Source organism: Homo sapiens, chromosome 5 (assembly GCF_000001405.40).
Source record: "Homo sapiens chromosome 5, GRCh38.p14 Primary Assembly".
NCBI classification, from domain to species: domain Eukaryota; kingdom Metazoa; phylum Chordata; class Mammalia; order Primates; family Hominidae; genus Homo; species Homo sapiens.
Genome location: NC_000005.10, coordinates 14,820,121 through 14,847,070, shown reverse-complemented (window position 1 = coordinate 14,847,070; position 26,950 = coordinate 14,820,121). Strand labels below are relative to the sequence as shown.

The window sequence follows — 26,950 nt, the reverse complement described above, 5'->3', positions numbered from 1 at the left end:
GCAACCTGTAAGATGGTCATTTTAAAATCAAAAGCTCGAGTTTCATTGTTTTTTTTTTTTTTTTTGAGGCAGTCTTACACTGTTTCCCAGGCTGGACCGCAGTGGCATGATCTTGGCTCACTGCAACATCCGTCTCCTGAGTTCAAGCAATTCTCCTGCCTCAGCCTCCCGAGTAGCTGGGACTACAGGTGCATAACACCATGCCTGGCTAGTTTTTTTTTGTGTGCGTGTGTGTGTTTTTAGTAGAGACGCAGTTTTACCATGTTGGCCAGGCTGGGCTTGAACTCCTGATCCCAAGTAATCCATCCGCCTCAGCCTCCCAAAATATTGGGATTACAGGCGTGAGCCACCACCCTTGGCCCTTGAGGTTCATTCTTAACCATGCTCTTCCCTGGGTGTCAAATGTATGTGCACTCTACTAAATTAATTTTGTTGGGTGATGTAAAATAGATCTCTAGTAGAAACAGCCCAAGAGACAGTACTCAGTTGCTTCTCTGGGACTTTGTCACTTGCTCTTGAACCATTCCATTGCTTATATATGAAACAATTCAGAAAAACATCCTTTGAAAAGCTGAGGGACTAAAAATCACGATATTAATTACTAAATAAGTCTTGTCATCCATTTCTTATCCTAGTCCAAACTCTACTAGCTGTTAAGGTGGATACAAGTAAATGTCATTGTAAATATGGCTGTTTTCCCACTGCTCTATAATGAGGAATAGCACGGCATTGCCTGTACGGAAAATTAAAGGAAAGCAGTGGGAATCCTTGTATCATGGAAATAGTAGACACTTAGGTAACAGTCTTTAATCTTTTAAGATTATGACCTCCTCGCAGTTTGACACACTGCCTTATGCATATTTACCAAAAGATGCTCAGAGATTAGAATTTGGCTGCATCAAAATAAGTTTTACGGCCGGGCGCGGTGGCTCATGCTTGTAATCCCAGCACTTTGGGAGGCCGAGGCAGGCGGATCACTTGAGGCCAGGAGTTCGAGACCAGCCTGGCCAACACGGTGAAACCCTGTCTCTACTAAAAATACAAAAAATTTGCCGGGCGTGGTGGCAGGTGCCTGTAATCCCAGCTATTTGGGAGGCTAAGGCAGGAGAATCACTTGAACCTGGGAGATGGAGGTTGTGGTGAGCTGAGATTGCGCCATTGTACTCTCCAGCCTGGGCAACAAGAGTGAAATTCCATCACCAAAAAAAAAAAAAAAAAAAAAAAAAAGTGTGCATAGGGATTTTCTCTGACCAGTTTGCAGTACTGACGTAGTGATCTGTTACCTTTGGCTCATAGCTAATTAGACATGTCCTTGGTTGCCCAGCACCTGTGGTAATTGACCAGGGTTGTAGGACATTAAAGGCACCCCACAGAGCCCAAGGTGGAGAGAGTCAAATTAGGCACCGCCTAGCACCCTGGGTGGATTGAAACCCAAGAGAAACACCAGCACTCTCTATGTTTCTTCTGCAAGAACTGGACCCAGAACAACTTCCTCTCAAGTCCCTGTCAACCCAAGTCCTCTTGCAGGGGACTCAGAAGTCCCTGTCAGAGAATGACACTATATGGTAAGGTCACAAAGATCTTATAAGAAGATCCCAAGATAGCTCCTCCGGGACATGTACTTCTAAACACACTTACCATTTTCTTTAATTTATTTTATACTGTCTTTTTTTCTTAATAAAACCAGAAAGGTAAAAAAAAAAATATATATATATATATATACACATGAAACTAGCAGGGTTTCTTCTGCCAACAGTGATGTCTTCAAATCTCAGCATGGTGGTTTCAGGCACAGGACAGATGGAAGAAAGACGGTTCTGGACTCGTTATTCATCCAAGCTAGACTCTTAACATATATACTCGTTAAATAAAGAGATCAAACAATATCCATTTTTGTTTTTTGCCAGAATAACAAAATAGAGGCATTATTGGAAAGCGTGTTTCTGTCAACACCATTAATCTGGATGTGGAAGGGTCAGATACCTTATTAAAGTCCTCTTTGAAAGTTCAGTTGTAGGAAAAGGGCCTTTTTTTTTTTTTTCTTGCACGCTTAGGTAAACAGGAATAAAAGAGCAGGAAGAAGTTGATAATATGATAGCTTGGTAAGTAATTTCTCCCCTGAGGGAAACATTTTTAAGTAGAAAGTTGATACCAACCCTATGGCTCCAATCCTCCCGAAAGATGCTCCCAGAAACTTGGGAGTTCTCTGAGACCAAGACAATGAGCTTGTTATGCACAAAGAAAAGAGGAGTGGGGAGAAACAGGAAAGGCAGAAATAACTCTCAAACTCAAAACAAACGTGAAAAATTCTTCAAGTCTGAGGAGTGTGCTGCCAAGCAAATCCCGAATCTACAGCTCCGCATGTACCACTGCAGAGCAGATAGTCACAGACAGTGAAAGGGGCTCGTCTTTAAATAGCCACCTGTGACCACCTTCCAGTTGCAATTACAGATCAAGAAAATAGAAGGTTCTCCCTGACCGCTGTTGTTTCTCCAGATCTCTGACTTGTAGCTAAAACACCCTAATAAAAATCTGAATAGCCACCATCAGTACTTAGCAAAGTGAGAGCAAGGCTGAAGCCTCAGAAGGCTGCAGTTTAGATAGAAACAGCATTCATGTCTTTCTTTAGGTGAAGGACCTCTTCTAAGTGACAGTTTGCTTCTTTTGAGCCAGTAGCCAAGAAATTTGGCAAAAGCACTAAAACACTGCATTTTGCTAGAAACACCTTAGGCCAAAAGTAGGGTCAGAGAAACTTGGCAAGTGAAACAATTGTGCTTTTAGAAAATAAGCATGCCTATTCACTTATTGTGCAGAGAAAGATAGGTCTATAGGAGAGGTACATAAGACATCAGAACTGTCCCAAGACTTGCAACCTTGGGGATATATCTATTTTAAAGGCTTTATGTTACACCACACTTGGGGAGTACTAAGCATGAGGCAGAGTGAAACAAATCACTGCCACTCAGAGAATGAAGTTTTTTCTCTCTGCAACCAAGTGTCTTATTTGCTCTACGGTGAATGGGAACTTGACTCCAGGTCAAATCTTGTGGATGATGCAGGAACACGGTTTTTCCCTTTTATCCCTCTCTCCTTCGAGGAAGAGAAAAATGTGGTGTCCACTAAAAAAATATGATATCCTGGTTTCTACAGTAGTTCATGCTTATATTTACATACCTTATATGCAAAATGTGTGCCCACTGTGTATGAATGGTACTGTCTGGGCTCTGTCGTTAAAGTGAGTCGAGATTTCTTTATTGTAACCCTTAAGTTATCCTTACTGCTTCTTTTCCATCCTCCCTCACCCAGAGAATAACTCAAGAGCGAGCACACACTGAGGAGGTAAGTGGAAGGTTGTTAGGGCGAGGTAATAGGAGAGAAACGCATGTTAAGCTTGAGTCTTCTCCCTTCTTGCTCAGGTTCTATATTCTGACCAGGGTCTGTTAGTCTGCCCTGGTTTTGGCATTGCCTAGTTCACTTTTTCTGCTACTTTCAGATAGGCTCTTTTTTTTTTTTTTTTTTTTCGCTAATCCCCTGATAGTTGTTTGGGAGAAGGGCTCATTAGTTGGGGTCTGGTGCATTATAAAAAATGAGAGCTGGCCAGGCGTGGTGGCTCACACCTGTAATCCCAGCGCTTTGGGAGGCCGAGGCAGGCAGATTGCCTGAGGTCAAGAGTTCAAGATCAGCCTGACCAACATGGCGAAGTGCCATCTCTACTAAAAATGCAAAAATTAGCCAGGTGTGGTGGCATACGCCTGTAGTCCCAGCTACTCAGGAGGCTGACACAGGAGACCCACTTGAATCCATGAGGCGGAGGTTGCAGTGAGCCAAAATTGTGCCATTGCACTCTGGCCTGGGCAACAGAACGAGTCTCTTCTCAAAAAAAAAAAAAAAAAAAGAGAACCCTGGTGGCTCTGCAAAGGTCTCGTTTGTTAGGGAGCTGAGTGGCCCAGGAGATGGGCTGCTGCTGCTGAGTTGTAGGCAATTAGCAATGTCTGAATGTTCTAATTGCTTAATCACTCCTGGGCATCTAGCCACAATTTGAGACCCTCTTACCTTGAAGCTCTCAAAACAGACTTTGCTATCCAACAGCAGAACCACAGTGGGAACACAGCATGCTGAATGGAGGAGAGGGGTGGATAGAACAGATCTTCTCTCTAGGAATTTTCATGTGTTCTGCCTTACAATGTTCAGAACATTGTGTTCTCAGTGCCATTACTGAGAGAAGAAAGGGAAGAAAATCACCACCCATGGGTGATATGATTGCTCCTGCATGGCTCGTGAGCACCCAGTAAATGGAAGAGACACTTCAGTGTGTCGTTCATACTTGGGCTTGATAGAAGAAAACCCCCACTCCCTGTCTCTGCAGCCTTCATCTGTTCCAAGTCCAGCCCAAGAAACTTGGGTGAGTGTTTTCTCAGGACACTGTAAACTAAGGGCTTTGATACTCTGTGGTCTGGAATGATCAGTCCATTTTAGTTTTCCCAGGTCTTATGCAGTTTGAGACACAGCTGGTCCCTAAGGAAGGCTATAGAAGAGAGTCTGTGTCCTATAGGCCAAACCCAGATCGGTGTGTCCCATAGGCCAAACCATGCTCTCCAAAACTGAGTAACCAGGACTATCCTAGGACTCCATAAGACATTGCCGAACTGGCTTGGATCCTCCAGGCCAGTCTCATTGGGGTATTCCTTGGTCAGAGCAGGTCTCTGTCCTTGACCGTCAGGTATGCCAGTGAGCTGAGCCTTTGATGTGGTTTGCTTATGCCTGAAGCACATCAGCAATCTCCAGGCCCCGCAGGTGCAGAAATGATTGGCAAGGCACTCAGCCAAGTAAGAAACCACACCCCCCATCATCAGTCAATATTATAGAGAGGACCCTAATTAGCTGTCTACCATCTCCACCTTACAGCAGGCTGAAATGGTGGTATAAATTTCCTCCCAGGAAATAGCCTCCTATATATCTCTTTCCTAGGAATTGTCTAATTTTAGTGAAAGCATTTATCTGTTTAGCTTTTTTTATCTTTTTGTGGTACAAATTGCTCAAGGTTTATTATCCCTTTGTAAAGAACGAATCCTTTTTATTTTTCTTAAGACTAACTCCCTAGAACTTTGGAATTGACACCTAATTCTGGAATTCTAGGATTTTGGTGAACTAAATGATCACATATTGACACATGCCACAATATAGACCACCCTTCAAGACTACCATAGGTGAAATAAGCCGGTCACAAATAGACAAATACTGTCTAATTTTATTCATATGTGGTACTTAGAGTAGTCAAATCCATAAAGACAGAAAGTAGAATGGGGGTTGCTGGGGGCTTGGCGGAAAGATAATTGGGAGTTAGTGTTTAATGGGGACACAGTTTCAGTTTTGCAAGGCAGAAAGGGTTCCGGAGATGGATGGTGTGGATGGTTGCCCAACAATGTGAATGGATTTGGTGCCTCTGAACTTCACACTTAAAAATGGTAAATTTTTGCCTGATGCAGTGGCTCACACTTGTAATCCTAGCACTTTGGGAGGCTAAAGTGCATGGATCACCTGAGGTCAGGAGTTTGAGACCAGCCTGGCCAACATGGCAAAATCCCATCTCTACCAAAAATGCAAAAATTAGCCAGGCGTTGGGGCACATGCCTGTAATCCCAGCTACTTGGGAGGCTGAGGCAGGAGAGTCACTTGAACCCGGGAGGCGGAGGTTGCAGTGAGCCGAGGTCGCACCATTGCACTTTAGCCTGGGTGACAGAGCGAGACTTCATCTAAAAAAAAAAACAAAATAAATGTTATATTTTATGTTATGTCTATTTTATCATGATTTAAAAAATAAGTATAAAATATTATCACATATTTTATGCATTAATTATTTTTCCTTGGAGCTCTTAAGAGGCCTAAGTTTTTTCTTTTGTTTTTTAAATAAAACTTTGTCAGCTCTTCATTCCTCTACCCATTTTTTTGCTCAGTTCTACCTAATGATTGTAAAATCTGTCCTCTCAGTAGTGACAATTAGTATCCTCATACATATTAGTCATATATATCCCCGCTCAAAACTTTCAGACATGTGTTGTAGGCTGAAGGAGAAAAGACCATGATTAAGGTGTTAGCCTGTCAAGTTATAAAAAACCAAATGGCATAGTATAGTAAAGCAGCTGTGATTTTTTTGTCTGAGGCGCCACTCAGAAATATCCTGTTTTCCCGTTCATTTTCCCTTTCCATAGATGCCCTTGCAGTCACCTTCCAGGATGCCCCTTGGCTGTCTTTAGGTGTCAGAACCTTCCACTTTCCTACTGACTGTGAAGGGCATGTAAATGCCTGGGCATCATTAGAAAGCCAGGGAGAGCTCATTTAACCTGATGTGTCAGTAGAATTTTGAAGCAGATAATTTGAAAATGTGTAATAATACTCGCTAAATCAGATCATTTGTCATTTCTAGAAACCACCTTATGAAGCAAATTCATAAGCATCCACTTTTGCTTGAAACAGGCAGCTAAGTAAACCATTAGAACAACTGTCACAAATCAAGAAAATGCACAACTCAATATACTTTGGATCCCAAATCTCATATGGTAAAATCCAGATTCTAAACATCAGAATTTGGTAGAGCTCTGAATCCAGAAAAGAATAATGTGTGTTTTTTTATTTTTCCATGTTCAACAGTCACCTTCCTCCTAGAAAAATGCAGCACAAACAACTTAATTTGGTTTTGTCCTAGGGCAAAATGGAAAATGGTGGACACTTCTACCCTGCTGGAATACTATAGCTTTCCTTCTTAAAAATCTTTAAACTATATCTTGAATACAGAAAGAGGAAAAAATAAACTGTTCTTAAAAAGTGCTATGGAAATTCCTTGCCCTGGCCAGACACTTCACTTGTTGAGGATAGAAGAGCATTGGATCTCTTCATGAGCAAACCCAGCATGTTCAGAGAGGCGTGGTAAGGATGAGAGCAAATGTTATCTTCCATCCTTTATAAGGCAAGAGCTCCCTTTTTAAAGGACTTCTTGTATATTTAAGAACTTCTTGTATATTCCTTTGCTTATTATCGGATGATTTCTGTGATGTTCACAGTGGGGTCTTGGATAAGTGTCTTGGACAAGGTCAGCCTGAACATTTATTGGGTTTGATCACAAAAATCAGACATTGGTAATTTTCTATGATTTGAGCTGCTGTTGGTGAGATGGTACTTGCCAGTCAGGGTCATGTTTCTACCTCTGATGGGGTACGTGCTTGCATCTTTACATCTCTTCCCACATCACAATAAATACTGTGTCCCACAGACACCCTCAAATGCACAAAGTATCTTATTTACAGTGCAAAATTAGAATATTGAAGATGAAAGGCTAAAAATGAGTGCCATTAGGACTTTCATTCTGTTTTCCAGTGTCTTGAAGTTTCTTCTAGGAAAGACAAAGTTGACGGCTTGAGCTTTGGTAGTCTTGATTTCAGTCTGAAGGTAACATGAGTTTGGAGACTGATCAAAATCTAGCCAGCCATGAAAACAAAATCAAACAAAAACCCTTTCTTATACTGAAGACGAAAGAAAGGAATCTCTGTGGGTTTTTTTTTTTTTTTAACTGATAAGACTTTGAGTTGAGGCTAGAAGCATCTAGCCTCAGCTTGGCAGAATATATTATGATACCATTTCTTTGAAGAGATCAAGTAAGACATTGAGCCAAAACTCTGTCTGTGCGTGTGTGTCTGTATGTATTCAAGTTATGAAGTTTTAACTTATCGATGTTAGCATTTTTACTTGTCTTCGCTACTCTTGATATTAAAGATTATAATGAAAGAACATAATCTTTCCAGAAATAAAAAATTAGTTTACATATTCTGAATTTGGCACTTAGGTTTAAATCCAAGGATTCAAGTCAGGATGTGAAGATTGTGAGTGCTGTGGTCGCTATGGCTGCATACATACATCACTACCTCGTATGTCCCATGTTTTACTTTGAAGACTCTCCCCGCCATTAAGCTAACATGGCACAAGGCTCAGCTTGCTAAAAGTGAGGTAAGGGTCTATTGGATAACTGGGTCAAAATCACTTTAAGGATCTTTGCTGAGATTTTTACGAATAGTTTTTCACTTGGGTTGTTGTTCGAAGGGAGTGTAATGTCATTTAACATTAACAAATAATCAAGTCTTCAGGTCTTTGCCTTCACGTGGATAGCGAGTCGGTTCCTTGGCCAACATACGCACACCTTAGGGGCTGGGAGGGACTTGGCTGGGTTTTTTCCTGGGCACACCTGCAGTTTGTATACACTGGCAGAAAAATTCACACCACGGAGTGTTTTGTTATGCTCATTAAGTGATTTATTGAAAAAAATAAACCATTTCTAAACCCTCCTTTATCAGAAAGTGTGCAGAGTCGTCTGCCAAACAAAATAATCCAGCTGGAATTAAGCAAAGCTCCCCTCAGGACTGGGTATTTGTGTTACAGCTTGTCCCATCCTCTGCCTCCTCTCTGGCGCCCCCAAGCAGGCGTGGGGTCCCCCAGGGGCTGCCACTCACGTGTGCCCCAGCAGGGTTTTGCCGCTTCAGGCCCACACTGAGAAGGACATACATACCCCTTGAGTCCAAGAGACTTGTGGTTTTCTGGAGTTGGAGAGCACTGCTCCAGGCTGTGATTTTTTTTTCTTTTTCTTGTTTATTTATTTAATTATACTTTTTTAATATATATAATTTTATTATTATTTTTATTATACTTTAAGTTTTAGGGTACATGTGCACAATGTGCAGGTTTATTACATATGTATACATGTGCCATGTTGGTGTGCTGCACCCATTAACTCGTCGTTTAGCGTTAGGTAATTTTTTTATTATTATACTTTAAGTTCTAGGGTACATGTGCACAACGTGCAGGTTTGTGACATATGTATACATGTGCCATGTTGGTGTGCTGCACCCATTAACTCATCACTTACATTAGGTATTTCTCCTAATGCTATCCCTCCGCCCTTCCCCCACCCCACGTCAGGCCCTGGTGCGTGATGTTTCCCACCCTGTGTCCAAGTGTTCTCATTGTTCAGTTCCCACCTATGAGTGATAACATGCAGTGTTTGGTTTTCTATCATTATGATAGTTTGCTCAGAATGATGGTTTCCAGCCTTATCCATGTCCCTACAAAGGACATGAACTCATCATTTTTTATGGCTGCATAGTATTCCATGGTATATATGTGCCACATTTTCTTAATCCAGTCTATCATTGGGTTGGTTCCAAGTCTTTGCTATTGTGAATAGTGCCGCAGTAAACATACGTGTCCATGTGTCTTTATAGCAGCATGATTTATAATCCTTTGGGTATGTACCCAGTAATGGGATGGCTGGGTCAAATGGTATTTCTAGTTCTAGATCCCTGAGGAATCGCCACACTGTCTTCCACAATGGTTGAACTAGTTTACAGTCCCACCAACAGTGTAAAAGTGTTCCTGTTTCTCCACATCTTCTCCAGCACCTGTTGTTTCCTGACTTTTTAATGATCGCCATTCTAACTGGTGTGAGATGGTATCTCATTGTGGTTTTGATTTGCATTTCTCTGATGGCCAGTGATGATGAGCATTTTTTCATGTGTCTGTTGGCTGTATAAATGTCTTCTTTTGAGAAGTGTTTGTTCATATCCTTCGTCCACTTTTTGATGGGGTTGTTTGATTTTTTCTTGTAAATTTGTTTAAGTTCTTTGTAGATTCTGGATATTAGCCCTTTATCAGATGGGTAGATTATAAAAATTTTCTCCCATTCTATAGGTTGCCTGTTCACTCTGATGGTAGTTTCTTTTGCTGTGCAGAAGCTCTTTAGTTTAATTAGATCCCATTTGTCTATTTTGGGTTTTGTTGCCATTGCTTTTGTTTTGTTTTTTAGTCATGAAGTCCTTGCCCATGCCTATGTCCTGAATGGTATTGCCTAGGTTTTCTTCCAGAGTTTTTATGGTTTTAGGTCTAAGATTTAAGTCTTTAATCCATCTTGAATTAATTTTTGTATAAGGTGTAAGGAAGGGATCCAGTTTCAGCTTTCTACATATGGCTAGCCAGTTTTCCCAGCACCATTTATTAAATAGGGAATCCTTTTCCCATTTCTTGTTTTTGTCAGGTTTGTCAAAGATCAGATGGTTGTAGATGTGTGGTATTATTTCTGAGGGCTCTGTTCTGTTCCATTGGTCTATATCTCTGTTTTGGTACCAGTATCATGCTGTTTTGGTTACTGTAGCCTTGTAGTATAGTTCGAAGTCAGGTAGCATGATGCCTCCAGCTTTGTTCTTTTGGCTTAGGATTGTCTTGGCAATGTGGGCTCTTTTTTGGTTCCATATGAACTTTAAAGTAGTTTTTTCCAATTCTGTGAAGAAAGTCATTGGTAGCTTGATGGGGATGGCATTGAATCTATAAATTACCTTGGGCAGTATGGCCATTTTCACAATATTGATTCTTCCTATCCATGAGCATGGAATGTTCTTCCATTTGTTTGTGTCCTCTTTTATTTTGTTGAGCAGTGGTTTGTAGTCCTCCTTGAAGAGGTCCTTCACATCCCTTGTAAGTTGGATTCCTAGGTATTTGATTCTCTTTGAAGCAATTGTGAATGGGAGTTCACTCATGATTTGGCTCTCTGTTTGTCTGTTATTGGTGTATAAGAATGCTTGTGATTTTTGCACATTGATTTTGTATCCTGAGGCTTTGCTGAAGTTGCTTATCAGCTTAAGCAGATTTGGGGCTGAGATGATGGGGTTTTCTAAATATACAATCATGTCATCTGCAAACAGGGACAATTTCACTTCCTCTTTTCCTAATTGAATACCCTTTATTTCTTTCTCCTGCCTGATTGCTCTGGCCAGAACTTCCAACACTATGTTGAATAGGAGTGGTGAGAGAGGGCATCCCTGTCTTGTGCCAGTTTTCAAAGGGAATGCTTCCAGTTTTTGCCCATTCAGTATGATATTGGCTGTGGGTTTGTCATAAATAGCTCTTATTATTTTGAGATACGTCCCATCAATACCTAGTTTATTGAGAGTTTTTAGCATGAAGGGCTGTTGAATTTTGTCAAAGGCCTTTTCTGCAGCTATGGAGATAATCATGTGGTTTTTGTCTTTGGTTCTGTTTATGTGATGGATTACGTTTATTGATTTGCATATGTTGAACCAGCCTTGCATCCCAGGGATGAAGCCAACTTGATCGTGGTGAATAAGCTTTTTGATGTGCTGCTGGATTCGATTTGCCAGTATTTTATTGAGGATTTTTGCATTGATGTTCATCAGGGATATTGGTCTAAAATTCTCTTTTTTTTGTTGTGTCTCTGCCAGGCTTTGGTATCAGGATGATGCTGGCCTCATAAAATGAGTTAGGGAGGATTCCATCTTTTTCTATTGATTGGAATAGTTTCAGAAGGAATGGTACCAGTTCCTCTTTGTACTTCTGGGCTGTGATTTTGTCAGAAGACAAAGAGCATGACTAGTTAAGCAGAAAGACAAACAGGAAAAGTGATTAGTAGCCAGCAGGAGCATCTGCCAGAATCTCACCAGCCAGAAACGCATAGTAACCCAGCATCAGAGTTTCTGGGTGGGAAACAGGACCCTCAGTCTCTTAGGGAAGAGTGTAGGATTCATGTGGCTTTTCACCACTGAACGCACTGAGATGTCTGGAAAGATGAAGGGCCTGATTACAAAAATGGTTTCAAGTCAGTAGTGCTGAACTCGGGAAGCATTTCAACCTGTCTGTGGGCACGGACTGCGGGTTTTTCAAAGGGCTCCTTTTACAATGGAACAGACTCTTCCAAGAGGCAGGTTATTCCTGTGACTAACCAGAGGGACAGCAGTCATCTCGCTGAGCAACACTCATCTCTTTCAGTCTCAACAGAATTAAAAATATATGTGGTTTCCAGTTAAGCCTGGTCATAAAATATACATATGTGAAGCACTTTAAAATTTAACGAGCTCTGCACTAATCCAGAATTATTTTTTAAAAAACTTGTAAAGATTACATCACCATAAAAATGTAAATGAGTTGTACTAGTATCAGAAGTAATGGTTAATCTTGCTTGATTAAAGTAATGTTACTGAAGTAAATAACCTTTTCTTTCCTACTTTGGCTGTTTTACTTGAGAACCGTGCTTTTGTCTTAATGATGGTACTAAAACAAGCAGTTATGTAGCCCTGACAGTGTTCCTGGTGACTGCTCAGAGTGCTTTATAAGTCTATTAATTCACGAATCTTCTAAATAATCCTATGAAGCAGCCACTGTTATTATCTTCTTTCTCCAGATGAGGAAACTAAGGCACATGTCCAAGATGACACAATAGATATTTATTTATTTATTTTGAGACACAGTCTCATTCTGTCACCCAGGCTGGAGTGTAGTGGCGCGATCTCTGCTCACTGCAACCTCAGCCTCCTGGGTTCAAGTGATTCTCCTGCCTCAGCCTCCTGAGTAGCTGGGATTACAGGTGTGTACCACCACACCTGGCTAATTTTTACGTATTTTTTAGAGACAGAGTTTCACCATGTTGGCCAGGCTGGTCTTGAACTCCTGGCTTCATGTGATCTGCCCACCTCAGCCTCCCAAAGTGCTAGGATTACAGGCATGAGCCACTGCGCCCGGCCAGATCTTTATATTTTTAAAATAATCTTAAGAAATTCCCTAGTAAATCCCCAGTATTTATGGGTTTTTCCTCTAACGTTACAGTGTCCTTTCTCCTGTAGTCTTTGGGGCATGCTTACCTTGAATGTAATTAGCAATAGTAATCATAACAGGCATTGTCTTCTGTGGAGGCCTCATCACTCCAGACCATTCAGAGACTGAGCATTTACCAATGCTTTCCCCTGTGACGCAGGTCCTGTCATTGTCTCCATTTTACAGATGGGAAACTGAGGTCAAAGATGTGAGATCACTTGTCTAGGGTCAGACAGCAGAGCTCTTGTCTGTGCCCAGACAGTCTAAGGGTAGAGCTCTTGTTCTTTACCACTTCATTAGTCCTCCTTTCCTTGTACCTTTCAATTTTATATAAAATAACTGAAGTCTGCCCCTGTACTTTAAAGATGCCAGTGGATTTTGTGGAAGGTGAGCCGTGCTCTGCATTTAGGTCAGGTTTGTATGTGGGTGAATGCAGGTCAGCACGAGCCCCACGTAAGCCCCGTGCAATTCTCTTTGGTTTCCTGATTCTTTCGTGCTGCCAACTCTGAGGCAGTTGCATTACTGAAAAGGGTTTTAATATGAGAGGGAAGGTAGATTGCTGTTGGAGGACTGCAGGGCCCCAACAGTTCCTTTGCACGTAGGTAGGTAAGCTTCTTGAGTAAAGAAATGGTCCATAAGGGGATGTAACTATGCATGAGGTACTTTTCTGCTTTGCATTATACTATAAGCAAGGCAGGGCCTACAGGTCAGTTTGGCTCACTTCCCTCAGGCCCAGCATTGGCCAGTCCACAGAGTGACATCTTGGCTATTTTGAAAGGTCTCTGGCAGATATCACTACTTGTCTTTGAGGTGGTGCAGCAGCCTTTTTCACCCTGAATACTTAAGGTAGTCCTCATCCTTTTCTCTTGTAGCTTTGGGAGCCCACCCTGGACCATATACCCAGACTGGGGGAGGAGCAGGCGAGAATCTCGTTTTGGCCTCCTGTGCTCTAAATGCCATAAAGATTGATATGTCTGAGAGCCTAACAAGCTCTGCAGGGTAGGAGACTAAACCTTTTACTAGTCTATTACCCATTCCCATGAATAGCGAACACCCTTGTGTGTGAATGAATGAAACCTCCTCAAGACCTGAGCTTTAGCAAGCAGGCGTGTTGGAATATCAAGACAGACAGCTCATTTTTAATGAGCATACCAAGCTAGTTCTTTTAGTCTTAATTCCTCTGATAGAACTTCCAAAATATATGGCAATGCTATAACTTAAGAATGGAATGAATATTTACCTGCCTCTGAACATCTGAAGACATAATCCATTGCAAGCCTTAATGTGAGTAGAAGGGAAGCCATCATGCCTAGAGTGGTTCTGTTTGTTGCCAACTGATCCATCTGAGACAATAGGAATAATAGTGCAGGTTGTGGGGCCAAGCTTGGGGCCCATCAAAGCAGCACTGTGATTTCATCAAGAAATTGAAAACATTCAGCACCAGAAATTGTTAGGCATTCAGTTGTGACTAGCTACTTTTTAGTTGTCCACGGGAAGGTCGGCTAGTAATAATTTTTGCAGACAAATTTCTCCTTTTCAGAAAGCTTAGGTGTTGGTATGTTTTTCAGTATCTCGATAGCCATATTCTTTCCAGATGTTTCATTGCTCTCACAGTGGAACAGATATTTTCTCCCCATTGTGAATCTTGTTTCTGCTTTCCTTGCTTCAAATGTTACAAAGATCGTTATTTGTAACAGCCCAACAAACTCTACAGGCAAATAAATGGTAACTTGAAAACTAGAAAATAAAAGCATGAATGGTAATTAAAATTTAATTTATCCGTTCTTGGAAACTTACTTCCTCCAACTCCTTCTTCAGCACTTTTAAATAAATCTATTAGAATTTGTTTTAAATTCTCATACTGTGTTTTCTAGGTGACTTGAATGGTTCTATAACTCCGTTACTTACTGAATGTAATCTGTTTATTTTGACTTCCCCTCTACCCTTAGGACCATGAACTAGCAATTTAATAATTGACTTCGGTTATTGAGTTTTTTGAAAAGGATGCTGCTTGTTTATAATCCAGAAATGTTTTTTAACCCTCACTGCAGCTATTTTGGGAGCTTATAAAAAATCGCAGTGGTGGAAAGCATATTTATTTGCACATGGAGAACTGTCAGAATTCCCAGAGACAATAAAATTTTTGTCTGTGGCAGCAACTTTTTAATAGCTTTTAAGTATTTTTGTTATGTTTTTAGTTTTTAAATTATGTCCTACTTTGTAAAGATAACTGCTTAAGGAATGATTTCTTAGTATGACTTTTCAGACCAGAAAATATATATATATAAACCACCTGTATTTGGAGGTTATTGATTAAAAATTGCTTTTCTTAGAAGGGGGCTGCCAGGAAATTTCACTGTAATTTTGAGTAGAGCTGTGTGCACTGCTGGTATTATGAGCTGTTGAGAAATACCATCAAGAATTGAATATTTTGCTGGGCCAGAACATTTTCCCAAAAAATTTTAGGGTAAAAGCAAAGTATGTCTTGTAATTTATTAGTCTTTGTTCCTGAAAGTTCATTCATCTTCCTTATCTTTCTTAATAATTTAATTTGGTGATGAAAAAGATTCATATATGGGAAATACTCCATGGTTTGGTAACTGCTTTTCCTTAATTAGCACGGTGAATATGTAGGTTGAGGAAAACACTGTTTTCAATTCTGTGCCTTAGTTGAGCAAGTGTTTCAAAATTTGCTGCAGGATAATAAGTTTTGGGTGAAAATTGGACCCTGTGATCAAGTAAATCTGAACAGTGCTAAGCTGACTACATTGAAGATGGTTTCCTGTCCCACAGGATTTCTCTGGTGTGGATGGTGTGCAGGGCCCCCCTTGAGCATTTGACCATGGATCCCTTTGGCACCATGGCAATCACAGCTATAAATACAGTAAAGGCCCCCCGTCGTCCCCCAGGGGGATCATGGAACTGTGGATGATATCAGTTTCAGCAAATGTCATTCTAGTGCCTTGAGTCACCAGTGAACTCAACTACAGCAAGGTGCGGAGATATGAGAAACACAGAAAAGTTGCTTTGTATTAGGCATTTAATGACTTAGCTAAGAGAGGCAAAATAATAATAAAAATGCCAAATAGGGGCATCTTTAGGCAGTTTTTCACCTAAGTAGCTCCTCATACAAACATTCATGATGGGATATATATAGAATTCCTCCAATAGGAATGCAGAGGGTTGGCTGGCTGTCCGATTCCGGTTCTGTGAAGTTTTCACACCCTTCATTTTAGGGCTCCCTGTCACTCTCCAAGGTCTCCTGAGTTGGACACCACAGTCCCACTCAGTAGAAAACTGCATTTGTGGCCCAGCCAGGAGCTGTTCAGCAGGAACTATCCTTGTCCTCATTCTGATCAACTCCAGAGGAAGTACCTGGTGCTGAAATTCAAAAAATTCTTTTTTTGCCCTTAAAAAAGTGAATGATTTAACTTTCTATGAAGGCATACTGAGGAAGGGATTCCACATGGGGCACCTTGTAGAGTGACCAACTGACCCAGTTTGTCCGGGACCAAGGGTTTCCTGGGCTGTGACCCTCAGTCCTGAAGCCAGGCGAGTCCCAGGCAAAGCAGGACCGTTGGTGCCCTTTGGATGCCAAAAACCAGACTAGATGTTGGGGGTAAAGTGGTGAATCAGATTTAGTGTTTCACCAGTAGGGCCAGTGACATTCCTTTCTGGGCAGTGCTTGGGAAAATGGTCAGTGGAGAGGCAGTTTGGGAAAATAGACATACAAAATAGAGCTGCAGCCTGGAGCTCTCAAGCAGCTCCGTGCTATCTTAGTCGGACTTGCTGTTATTCTCTTTCAGTTATGACCAAATTATTTTTCTAACTTTCTAAGTTAGCAGTGTTGTTTTTTATTCCTAAGTCTGCACACACTCACACACACACAGACACACACACACACACACACACACACACTCCCCCTACCTCACAATATTTAAATATCCAAGCCATCAGGGAATAACTTTCCAGCCACTTCCTTCCCCCACTGCAGCCTAGGACTGTGTTTGGTTTGGACTCTTCCCAGCACTGGACACGTTTTCATTACCTCCTACTCATGCTGTCGCCACCTTCGGTCATTCCAGCCTGTGTGGGTGCGTGTACTGGGCAGGAGGTAAGTTCAACACGGGGCAAGCCGCAGCAGTGTCTTCTCGATCTGATATGGCTGCCCAGTGAGCCCAGGAATAAAAGAGGATGATTTTGAAAGGCAGCCTCAAATACACAGAAGGACGTCTATGTAACAATTTTGCTTACTACCTTCACATAAAAATTCTTGCTTCGTAGTCGTCCATAGGTATGTGTTCAGTCTGTTGTGCTGATTTTAGTATATCCTCTAGTGAGGTGCTTTCCAAGGTAAAACACTGGACTTTCTTCACATCAATTCATGCCTCCATCTCTCATACAGACAAAAGATAAGTGACTCTTCCTCTTGCCCAATCCAGAAATTGCAAAACCAGAATCAGAAATAGAATATTGATAATTCCCTGGGTTTATATGAAATGGTTAATTTGCTAATATTGAGAATGGTCATTTTAGAGGCTAGGTGGATGTTTTGCTTGCTGAAATTATTATTCAGTTATGAGATTATAAACTGATGAAAACACAGAAGGTATTCATGTTTTATGTCTTCTATTTATCCTGAGGATGGGGAGGACAGATTATATTGGTCTCAGGTACCTGTCTAAATAAAACGCAGGAAATGTGCAACAAATCTTTTTATGTAATGATTTTGTGAGGAGGTTTTCTCAAAGACTGATTCTTAAGACACTCAAGATGTGTTGTGGTTGGGCAGCCCTAGCCTGGCAGAAGTGAATTCTAGATCATATGTCAGGCATTTCTGTTGGTTTGCTGCACGAGAACAGGCAACTCGCCCAAATGCATTCTTCCTAAGCATTTGGTAGTTTATTTATAAAGTAAAGATTTGACACTTTTTTCTTTCATATCTCAGAACCTGTATTATTTGTAGAACTTTGACATTTTTCAGTAGAAGCTGAATCTTAACTGTGTAGCACATTCAGCTTTTGATTGTTTGATGAATTATTCTAGAAATTTGACCATCAAGCTTGAAGAAGGAGAACAGGGGGACTTCAGGCATCTGTACAGCAAAATAAGTATTTCTGGGTAAGCCTTTCTGGATTCTCTTGTACTCTTCATTACAATGGACAGTAAGAGTCATAGATTAACAAAAACTGCAGTAGAGGTCCATGCTTTGAAATTGCTTTTTTTTTTTTTTTTTTTTTTTTTGAGACAGAGTCTCTCTCTGTCGCCCAGGCTGGAGTGCAAAGGCGCAGTCTTGGGCTCACTGCAAGCTCTACCTCCCAGGTTCAAGCGATTCTACTGCCTCAGCCTCCCGAGTAGCTGGGATTACAGGTGCCCACCACCACGCCTGGCTAATTTTTGTATTTTTAATAGAGACGAGTTTCACCATGTTGGCCAGGCTGTTCTTGATCTGCTGACCTCGTGATCTGCCTGCCTTGGCCTCCCAAAGTGTTGGGATTACAGGCGTGAGCCACTGCAGCCAGCCAGAAATTGCTTCTTCTGAATGTTACCATGTAAGAAATTCTCTTGAGTAATTCAGACCTTAAAGATATGTACCTATGACTTGGGCAAAGTTGTTTTCTAGCTTGTTCTTCTCCCTCTGATTTGGATATAGTGCAAGGGGATGAGCTTTATTTTAATAAGCTGATATTTTCCAATTGTATGTCTAGAGTCCAGGCCATTAAATATATTTTCACAAGTAAATTTTCCATGTGGTGAGATTCTTATTAGAAGACATATTGCTGATGGTTTCATTCCATGGTATAGGCGTAAAGAACTGCATTATGGTATTAAAAAAAAGAAGAAGAAAGAAAAGAAAAGAAGAGGAAACTTTTTGTTGTTGTTTGTTTGTTTTTTTGTTTGTTTTTGAGACGGAGTCTCTGTTGCCCAGGTGGGAGTGCAGTGGTGCAATCTCAGCTCACTGCAACCTCCACCTCCTGAGTTCAAGTAATTCTCCTGCCTCAGCCTCCTGAGTAGCTGGGATTACAGGCGCCAGGCACCCACCACCATGCCTGGCTGATTTTTATAGTTGTTTTTGTTGTTTGTTTGTTTTTGTTTTTAAGTAGAGATGTGGTTTCACCATGTTGGCCAGGCTGGTCTCAAACTCCTGACTTTAAGTGATATGCCCGCCTCGGCCTCCCAAAGTGCTGGGATTACAGGCATGAGCCACCACTCCCAGCCAGAAGCTTGTTTATAATGTTAGGAAATACCCTTGCCTGGCATCCAAGCTGACCTGTCACACACTCCTCATCATGTGGTGAGATTACCATGATTTCTTTTTCTGAATGGCATAAAGCAGATGGTAGTGCTTAACATAAGAGTGTTGTAGCCGCAGCCTAGAAACAAAGCAACATGTTTTAGTTTGTCTGTAATTGATGTGATTTATCTTATGCCGGAACAGGTGCCCACGTGGTATGATCTGAGATATGCAAATACTCTTCTTTATCCAAACAGATATGGCTCCTACACCTACCTGGGAATGTTGCAAACTGTTGGCAATCAAGTTACCATTTCAGATTATGGCATTGTCCCTGAAGGCCTCTGAAATAAAAGATAATCTGAGAGAAAGAGAACATTGATACAATGTATCAGATCACTGAGTTATCAGCACTCAGTGAGTAGAATCTCCCAAAAAAAATAGGTCTTAGGACAACAGTTTTGATATAAGGAGAAATACAACAAAGGTCCAAAAACCTTAGTGATGCCCAGAGAGGATCCTTTAAGTTGGAAGCACTAGGAAGCCAAAGGAGATGATGAGACACCCAGTTATCTGCTACCTGATGAGATACCTGGTTAACAAAGGAAATGGGATGTGCCCGCAGCAGGGGCTTTGGGGATCCCTTATTGACAGCCACAGCCTTCTTCTCAACTATGCCTGGACTGACCCTGCGTAACACTCAGGTGAATAATGCCACAGCGGCATGTCTCATATGTGTGCATTTATCTTTAAAAGGCCTAGACTAGCAGCTGAGAATATGGACTCTAGGGCTGGCTGGACTGCTATTTGCATCCAGCCCCAGTTCATCAGCTTACCTTGGCTGTGCACCTGAGGCAGATCACTTAAAATGTTTGTTTTACCTTCCTCAGCTGTAAGAAATACCTGGCTCAGAGGATTGTTGAGAAAATTAAAAGAGCTAAGATGTATATGCAGTACTTAGAGCAGTGGCCCTTGGTAAAAGTCTTAGGTGTTACTGTTAACAGGAGTATGTCAGAGTCACGCGGAAAGAAGAAGCCATGGACTGGAGTGTGCGAACTGCCAGAGCGCACAGTGGTGACCGCTCAGCTGCTTAGCCCAGGTCGGTGAGGTTCCTTGGAGACAGTGGTTCTGCTGTATTCTAGGCCCTCTGAGTTCTTCACTGACTTTCAGCCTGTAGCTGGCAGGTGAGGGAAGAGGTTTGGTCAGGAGTTTTTGGAGACCAGACTTCCCACATTCTCACACTCTCAAAAGTCCCACATTCCATTGGCCAGAAATGGTCACATGGCCCCACCTAACTGCAGAGGGACGTGGGAAACGCAGGTTAGCTGGGGGCCCAGGAAGCAGAAAAGAACATGGATGTTAGTCAGAACATATGGAGAGCAAATCGATGGTTTTGACTTTGGTTTATGGTTTCACTCTAAAGCAGAAACATTTTTCAGTTTAATTTTAAGAATTAATATGAAAATCTGCTCTCTTACTTGGCATGCAACAGTCAAATTCCAGTGTTCATGCCGAAATTCAGCTGTGTTATTGTTTCTGAATAAAATAATGAAAGCTAACATGTAGGGAGCATTTGCTGTGTACTAAAATACCAAGAACTTGACATACTTATTTGATCTTATTTAATAAGATGGAATTAATTTATTAATTCCCACCATAGCCTTTATGAAGTAGGTACCAGAATTATCCCCATTTGATAGATGAAGAAATGGAATTACCAAAAAGGCATGAATCCAAATGACAAATATGAGTTGATGAAGAAGCACAAACAGGAAGAACAAAGCTGCTAGTTGGTCTTTTTCGCTGTCCCTTTAATCTGTAATCTGACAAGATTTGGTAGAGAGATAACTTAGTCACCAACTCTGTTTTCTTTTTTGGGAGACCAAATCCAGATATACAGCTTGAGACTTAATCCCATATGAGGTGTTCATTCTACCTAATACAGCACCCATTAATTTGTCATGAGCTGGGTGGTTTGTCAAGAAAACCTAATACACATGTGCATGGAAAAACACACATCAATGTGTACTTTATCCTTTGGTTTACTTTAACTTATTTGCTTAGAGAAACATGCTATGGTTATTAGGTTAACCATGCATACATTGCGTTAGTCTGGAAAAGAGGTTTTAATGTCTTAACCAGTGATATCTGTTTAGTTCGTCCTGGAAAAATTAGTTAGGACCCTTACTTGGATCTGCAATTAGTATTTTAATCATAGATTGTATTTAGTTAGTTTTTAATACTAACTGCAGATTCAAGTGAGGGTTCTAACCCTAACCTCTAGATTTTAATTATGGAGGTTACATAACATGATGTCACTGGTACTTGTGTTTTAATTTTTTGCGTATAGCACTGTAGAAAGAAAAGATGAAGGCACAATTCTGTGAGCCCCTGTACACGGACAACGTTAAGATTAGGCACTTATTTTCTTAAGAGATTCTGCACGATCAGTTCAGATGAGTCAGCTCATTGCCATCTTTATCAATTCGATAGATTTCAGGTTCCTCTAAGGCACTAAGATATGTTTATTAAAAGGCTTGAGGCTGGGCATGATGGCTCACATCTTAAATCCCAGCACTTTGAGAGGCTGATGCAGGAGGATCACTTGAGCCCAGGAGTTTGAGACCAACCTGGGCAACATAGTGAGATCCTGTCTCTACAAAAAAATACAAAAATTAATCAGGCATGGTGGTGCACACCTGTAGTCTCAGCTACTCGGGAGGCTGAGATGGGAGGATTGCTTGAGCCCAAGAGGTCAAGGCTGCAGTGAGCCAAGATTGTGCCATTGCACTCCAGCCTGGGCAACAGAGGGAGATCCTGTCTCAAAAAAATAAAAAAGAAAGAAAATCACCAAGAAGTAGATATTTAAACAGATGTCAGATAGAAGCTGTAGATGTATAGTAGTAGAAAGAGTTTTGATAGGCCATGGAATAGCTGAGTAGTTAGAATTTCTGTGTACCAGCGTACCTTAAAGACTTTTGGCCAAGCCACAAGGCAGTTGGGTATTTGCCCAGTCGTTTTTGTGAGTCCTCATGTGTCTTTTAAAAATCTTGGTAATGGTAGCTGAATGAGGAAAGCACCTATTCCTCAATATTTGTTCTAAGCCAAATGAGGAAAGTACCTATTTTTCAATATTTGTTTTTTCTTTCCACACTGTTTTGTTTCAGTTTTATAAAAACATAGGGAACAATTAGACCATCCGTCTGTCTGTTGCTAACAGGTGATAATCTCTTGCCTTTTACCTCTAGATCTCAAAGCATTTTCCACTGTGCAAAGTTAGAATATTCTTTATCACATTTGTTCTTCAAAGTTATTTTCACTGAGTTGAGAAAGTGATATTGCTCACCTTTTGGGGCGTGTAACCAGAGCTGTTGGAGGTGGGAGGCTACTGATATGCCCCCTGACAGGCCAAGCAGAAGTCAGGGGCCAGGCAGAAAATAGAAGTATCAGGGCTAACTCCTTGGGCTGTTACAGTGGTAATTTAATAGGGACTTTGGGCTTGGGACCTCAGCACCACCTTGGGAACCAGGAGTGTTGGCAGTCGCTCCTGTCAGCTGATGAAATGATCTCACAAACTGCAGAACTGTTCATTTTATTTATTACTGGTACTGTTTGGAAATTACTTCTTATTTTGTATTATGATTAACATACAGCTATTCGCATTCTATGAACCAATATTGAGGGTACCCTTTGATTCTATGGGACATTGAGCTGTTGTGTTTTAGAATTCGTGACCATGAACATTCCTTCCTAATTTAAATGCAACTTAATTTTAACATTAAAAAAGAAACCGCTTTTTTATATCTCTATTATTGGAAAAAATCACCCAGCCGTTGTTGCCCTTTATGCTTCTAGTCCAGTTTTGGTTTTTATTTTCAAACGAGAATACATCGTATGCAGCAGACATGTCATTTCTAGGCTAGATCTGCTTGATTAACTTGACTAATTTTTTTTCCAAAAAAATCTGAAAAATAAATCACTTTTAATTTTTTCCTATTTACATTTCATCAGAGACTATTTTTTTTCCTTCTTTCAAGGAAGGATGGCCCTGCTGGGAACAGATTGTTTCAGCCTCTATGGCTGTGGAGATAAAATGTCATGGAGATGGGTTTTTGTCTGCAGTCACAGCTATCTGAGGGCTCTGCAGACTCTTGGTTGGGGTAAGGTATTCTTACATACCACAGTGGGTTTCTGTCTGCTGCCTGTTTATCTGGGCAGCAGAACCACAGGGAGAAAGAAAGATTTGTTTGTTTGTTTGTTTTTTGAGATGGAGTCTCTCTTTGTCACCCAGGCTGGAGTGCAGTGGCGTGATCTCCACTCACTGCAACCTCCACCTCCTAGGTTCAAGCCTCAATCCTCCTGCCTCAGCCTTCCAAGCAGCTGAGATTACAGGCATGTGCCGCTATGCCTGGCTAATTTTTATATTTTTAGTGGAGACAGGATTTCACCATGTTGGCCAGGCTGGTCTCGAACTCCTGACCTCAGGTGATCCACCCGCCTTGGCCTCCCAAAATGCTGGGATTACAGGCATCAGCAACCGCGCCCTGCCAAAGAAAGATTTAAATGTGGAAATGACTTCTCATGCGTAAGAGGCTGTGAACTTGAAAGTCATTTGTGAGTTTTGATCTCCAGTTTGCTTGAAAATACTCACTTTTTCTCTCTCAGTCTCTCAATTCCTGAATTATTTCTAGAAGGATCACCCACTCACACACCATGCTATGATTGCCTTCTTGCTATACAATGTTGTAAATTGTTCATTTCCACTGCAAATTGTTCATTTTATAAACAGGATCTCTCCTTTTTAAAAGTTCTTTTTATTTTAAAATTGTTGTTGTTATTCCTGATATTCTGAGAGATAGAGACACTGATATTTAAGTGAATCACAGTTCAAAGCAGTTATGACTAATAAAATAAATGAACTAAACTTATTTTCTTGTAATATAGGTATAAAATAGTATATATTAGGCTTTCTGACTACTCATGGAACTGTTACAAGTAAACACTGAAGTTCACACTTTTCCCATTGCAACAAATATAGTAAATGTCAGAAGTGTAGTTGAATGTTTGGTTTTATTTAGTGTTATAAAATTACATAATAGTGTATTTTATATTACCAAGTCCAGATAACCTTAAATTAATTACAGTATTTTTTTTTTTTTTGAGACGGAGTCTGGCTCTGTCGCCCAGGCTGAAGTGCAGTGGCGTGATCTCGGCTCACTGCAAGCTCCGCCTTCCGGGTTCACGCCATTCTCCTGCCTCAGCCTCCCGAGTAGCTGGGACTACAGGCGTGCACCACTGCGCCCAGCTAATTTTTTCTATTTTTAGTAGAGACAGGGTTTCACCGTGGTCTCGATCTCCTGACCTCGTGGTCCACCCGCCTCGGCCTCCCAAAGTGCTGGGATTACAGGCGTGAGCCACCACGCTCAGCCAATTACGGTATTAGTAATGTTTAATGGCAGGTTCTTAGAGCATAAGAAAAGGACAAATGTGGTTTTCGTGTATTTCTGGGATTTGAATATCTGTGGTCGTGAAATTTCTGTTGTTTATTGGCAGAGTTTTTACTATTGTGGTTAACATTGCTTCTGAATGTGTGCTCTATGTCATGAAAAATGAAGGCCACTACCATTTTATATACAATAAAATGATTACATAACAGAATTGAATCCTTATTTGAGCAGATGGGCCCGATGTAGGGTCATTATGTGATTCTGCTGGTAGTGCTATTTCTGAAGTGTGAAATATTCATTCTGTTCAGATGGCTAGGAAAAACAGCCTCCTCCAAAGAAGTGTCTCATGCAGCTGTCCAACAGAAGTAATGTGAGCCACATATATAACTTAAAATTTTCTAGTAGCCTTATTTAAAAATTAAAAATAAATAGTTGAAATTTTTAGTGCTATATTTAACTCAGTATATCCAAATACTATTATTCCTGTATGTCATCAAAATAAAATTATTATTGAGATATTCCTTCTTTTTCTGTACTAAGTCATGGAAATCCAGTGTGTATTTACACATACAGCACATCACAGTTCAGACTAGCACTTTTCAAATGCTCCTAGCTACATGTTATCCAGGTTGCTGTATTGGACAGCAGGGTCCATCAATGGCTTGACTGCAGCTTCAGATAGGAGAAAGAAAGGGATCATGTGAAATGTCTGTTCCTTTGCAGAAAACTAAATGTCAGATCTTGAAAAGGAAAATGTTGACAGAACTGTCTGGAAAATATAACCTTCTGATGTTTATTTGCACAGATCAAATGCTGTTCCATAGCAGGGTTTAACTTTATTTTTATGGAAAAAAAAAGGAAAAACCCAAACACTGATCTAATGTTAGTCATTTCCTGAAGGAAATTAAAAATCCACATCAGAGGGCCTTAATGTAAAGGATTCCTTTTTTTCGCTCATTTATCTGGTTCTACTGTTGCCATAGCCACATGGATGGGATGCGGCAGAAATTAAAGACTCCAGTTATAGTCACAGTGCTTTCTTTAGTTAGCAGGCTACTTTTCAGCCAAAGGCTGTTTTTACTGTATCAAGCTTTTTCCCCTGAAAATGTGGAAGTTGTGCTTAGTGAATGTTTATGTTTTGGTTTAGTATGGGCAGTGAAGATGGTACATTAATGCCATTTCAAATGCTTCAAAGCCCTTACAGCAAGTATAAACCATAATTACCAAAAACGGTCAGTGTTAATTCATAACCGGAACATGTCACAGAGTCTTTGTCTGATCGGATTTTCCTCCCTCCGATCTGGAATACGAACTATTTTATGTCATTCCATTTTCAGAGTAAAAGAGCTGTTACTGTAATTCTAAGTGAGATGATAACATACTATGTCTTCCTGGCCAATTTAAACGGTTGTTGTCAACCAGATGGCCCTCATTTTGAAGAAGCTATGACCTTTGGGTTTATTAGTGTTGATTGGAGAGGGAAGTTTTGCTAGATTATTACCCTCAAGGGATTGGTAATAGAGGCATGTTCTCAGAATTAACTTGGAATGTATCTACAAACTCACACATGTATCATTTATATGATGTCGGGCTTTAATAAGGTCTTGGCATGTTTTGAAGTTTAATAACTGAAATTTTTTTTTTTTTTTAAGACAGGGTCTCATTCTGTCACCCAGGCTGGAGTACAGTGGTATGATCAGGTCTCACTGCAACCTCCATCTCCCAAGCTCAAGCAATCCTCCCACCTGAGCCCCTGTGAGGTGCTGGGACTACAGTGTCACCACCACCCCCAGCTAATTTGTTTGTATTTCTGGTAGAGACAGGTTTTATCATGTCGCCCAGGCTGGTCTCGAATTCCTGGGCTTAAGAGATCCGCCTGCCTTGGCCTCCCAGAGTGCTGGGATTACAGGCATAAGCCACTGCACCTGGCTGTAATAACTTAAATTTTTCTTATGGTAGAAACTGACAAAAATTCTCTCCTTTACCAAACTTTAGTTAAGCTCCCCTGAGCCTTCTTCTTAACCTTCTGTGCCTCTCCCTCCTGGTCTGCCTTTAGCAAGAATTCTTCCAAGTCAGTTTAGTGGGAATCCTCCTACCCTTGGTATCTGATCACCCTTAATATTGATCAAGTTCCTCATTTCCCCACCCTTGATGTTGGGCCGTTGGCCTGCCCTCAGCAAGAATCCTGTTAGGTGAGTTTTGTAAGAATCTCCCTAATTGTGGTGTCTCCTCTTAGTAGTTTTCCATCCAGCAGTCCTCTCACTCTGCTTGTTGGCTGTCATTCTCCCTTGTTCTTATATTCAGAGTTGAGCTCCATCTCTTTCCCCTATTGCAATAGTCCCAAATAAAGTCTTCCTTACCATTTTAACAAGTGTCAGAGTAACTTTTTTTCTATGGCAAAATAATAAGTTGCATAGAAAGCCCCTGTATTAGCACTTTAGGACAATTTTATTGTAAAATGGTACAGAGTAAGTTCTTATTTCATCTCATTCATGAAACTAAAAAACACTATATTAGGCAAGCTAAAGTAAACTCTATGGTTAGAACTGAAGTTTATATTTACTTAGAAAATTCATTGTTTATTACTGTTATGTGGACATTTTATTATGCTTACAACCAAAGTACA

The 26,950-nt window shown here is 40.8% G+C and overlaps 1 protein-coding gene and 1 non-coding gene across 3 annotated transcripts in view; both read left to right on the top strand.

The window, feature by feature from the left end:
- Positions 1–26,950, top strand: part of ANKH (ANKH inorganic pyrophosphate transport regulator) — a 166,979-nt gene that overhangs the window by 24,708 nt on the left and 115,321 nt on the right. The window lies entirely within an intron of this gene.
- On the top strand, positions 21,059–21,142 carry MIR4637 (microRNA 4637). Its single transcript, NR_039780.1, has one exon. It is a non-coding gene; the product is annotated as a microRNA 4637 (primary transcript).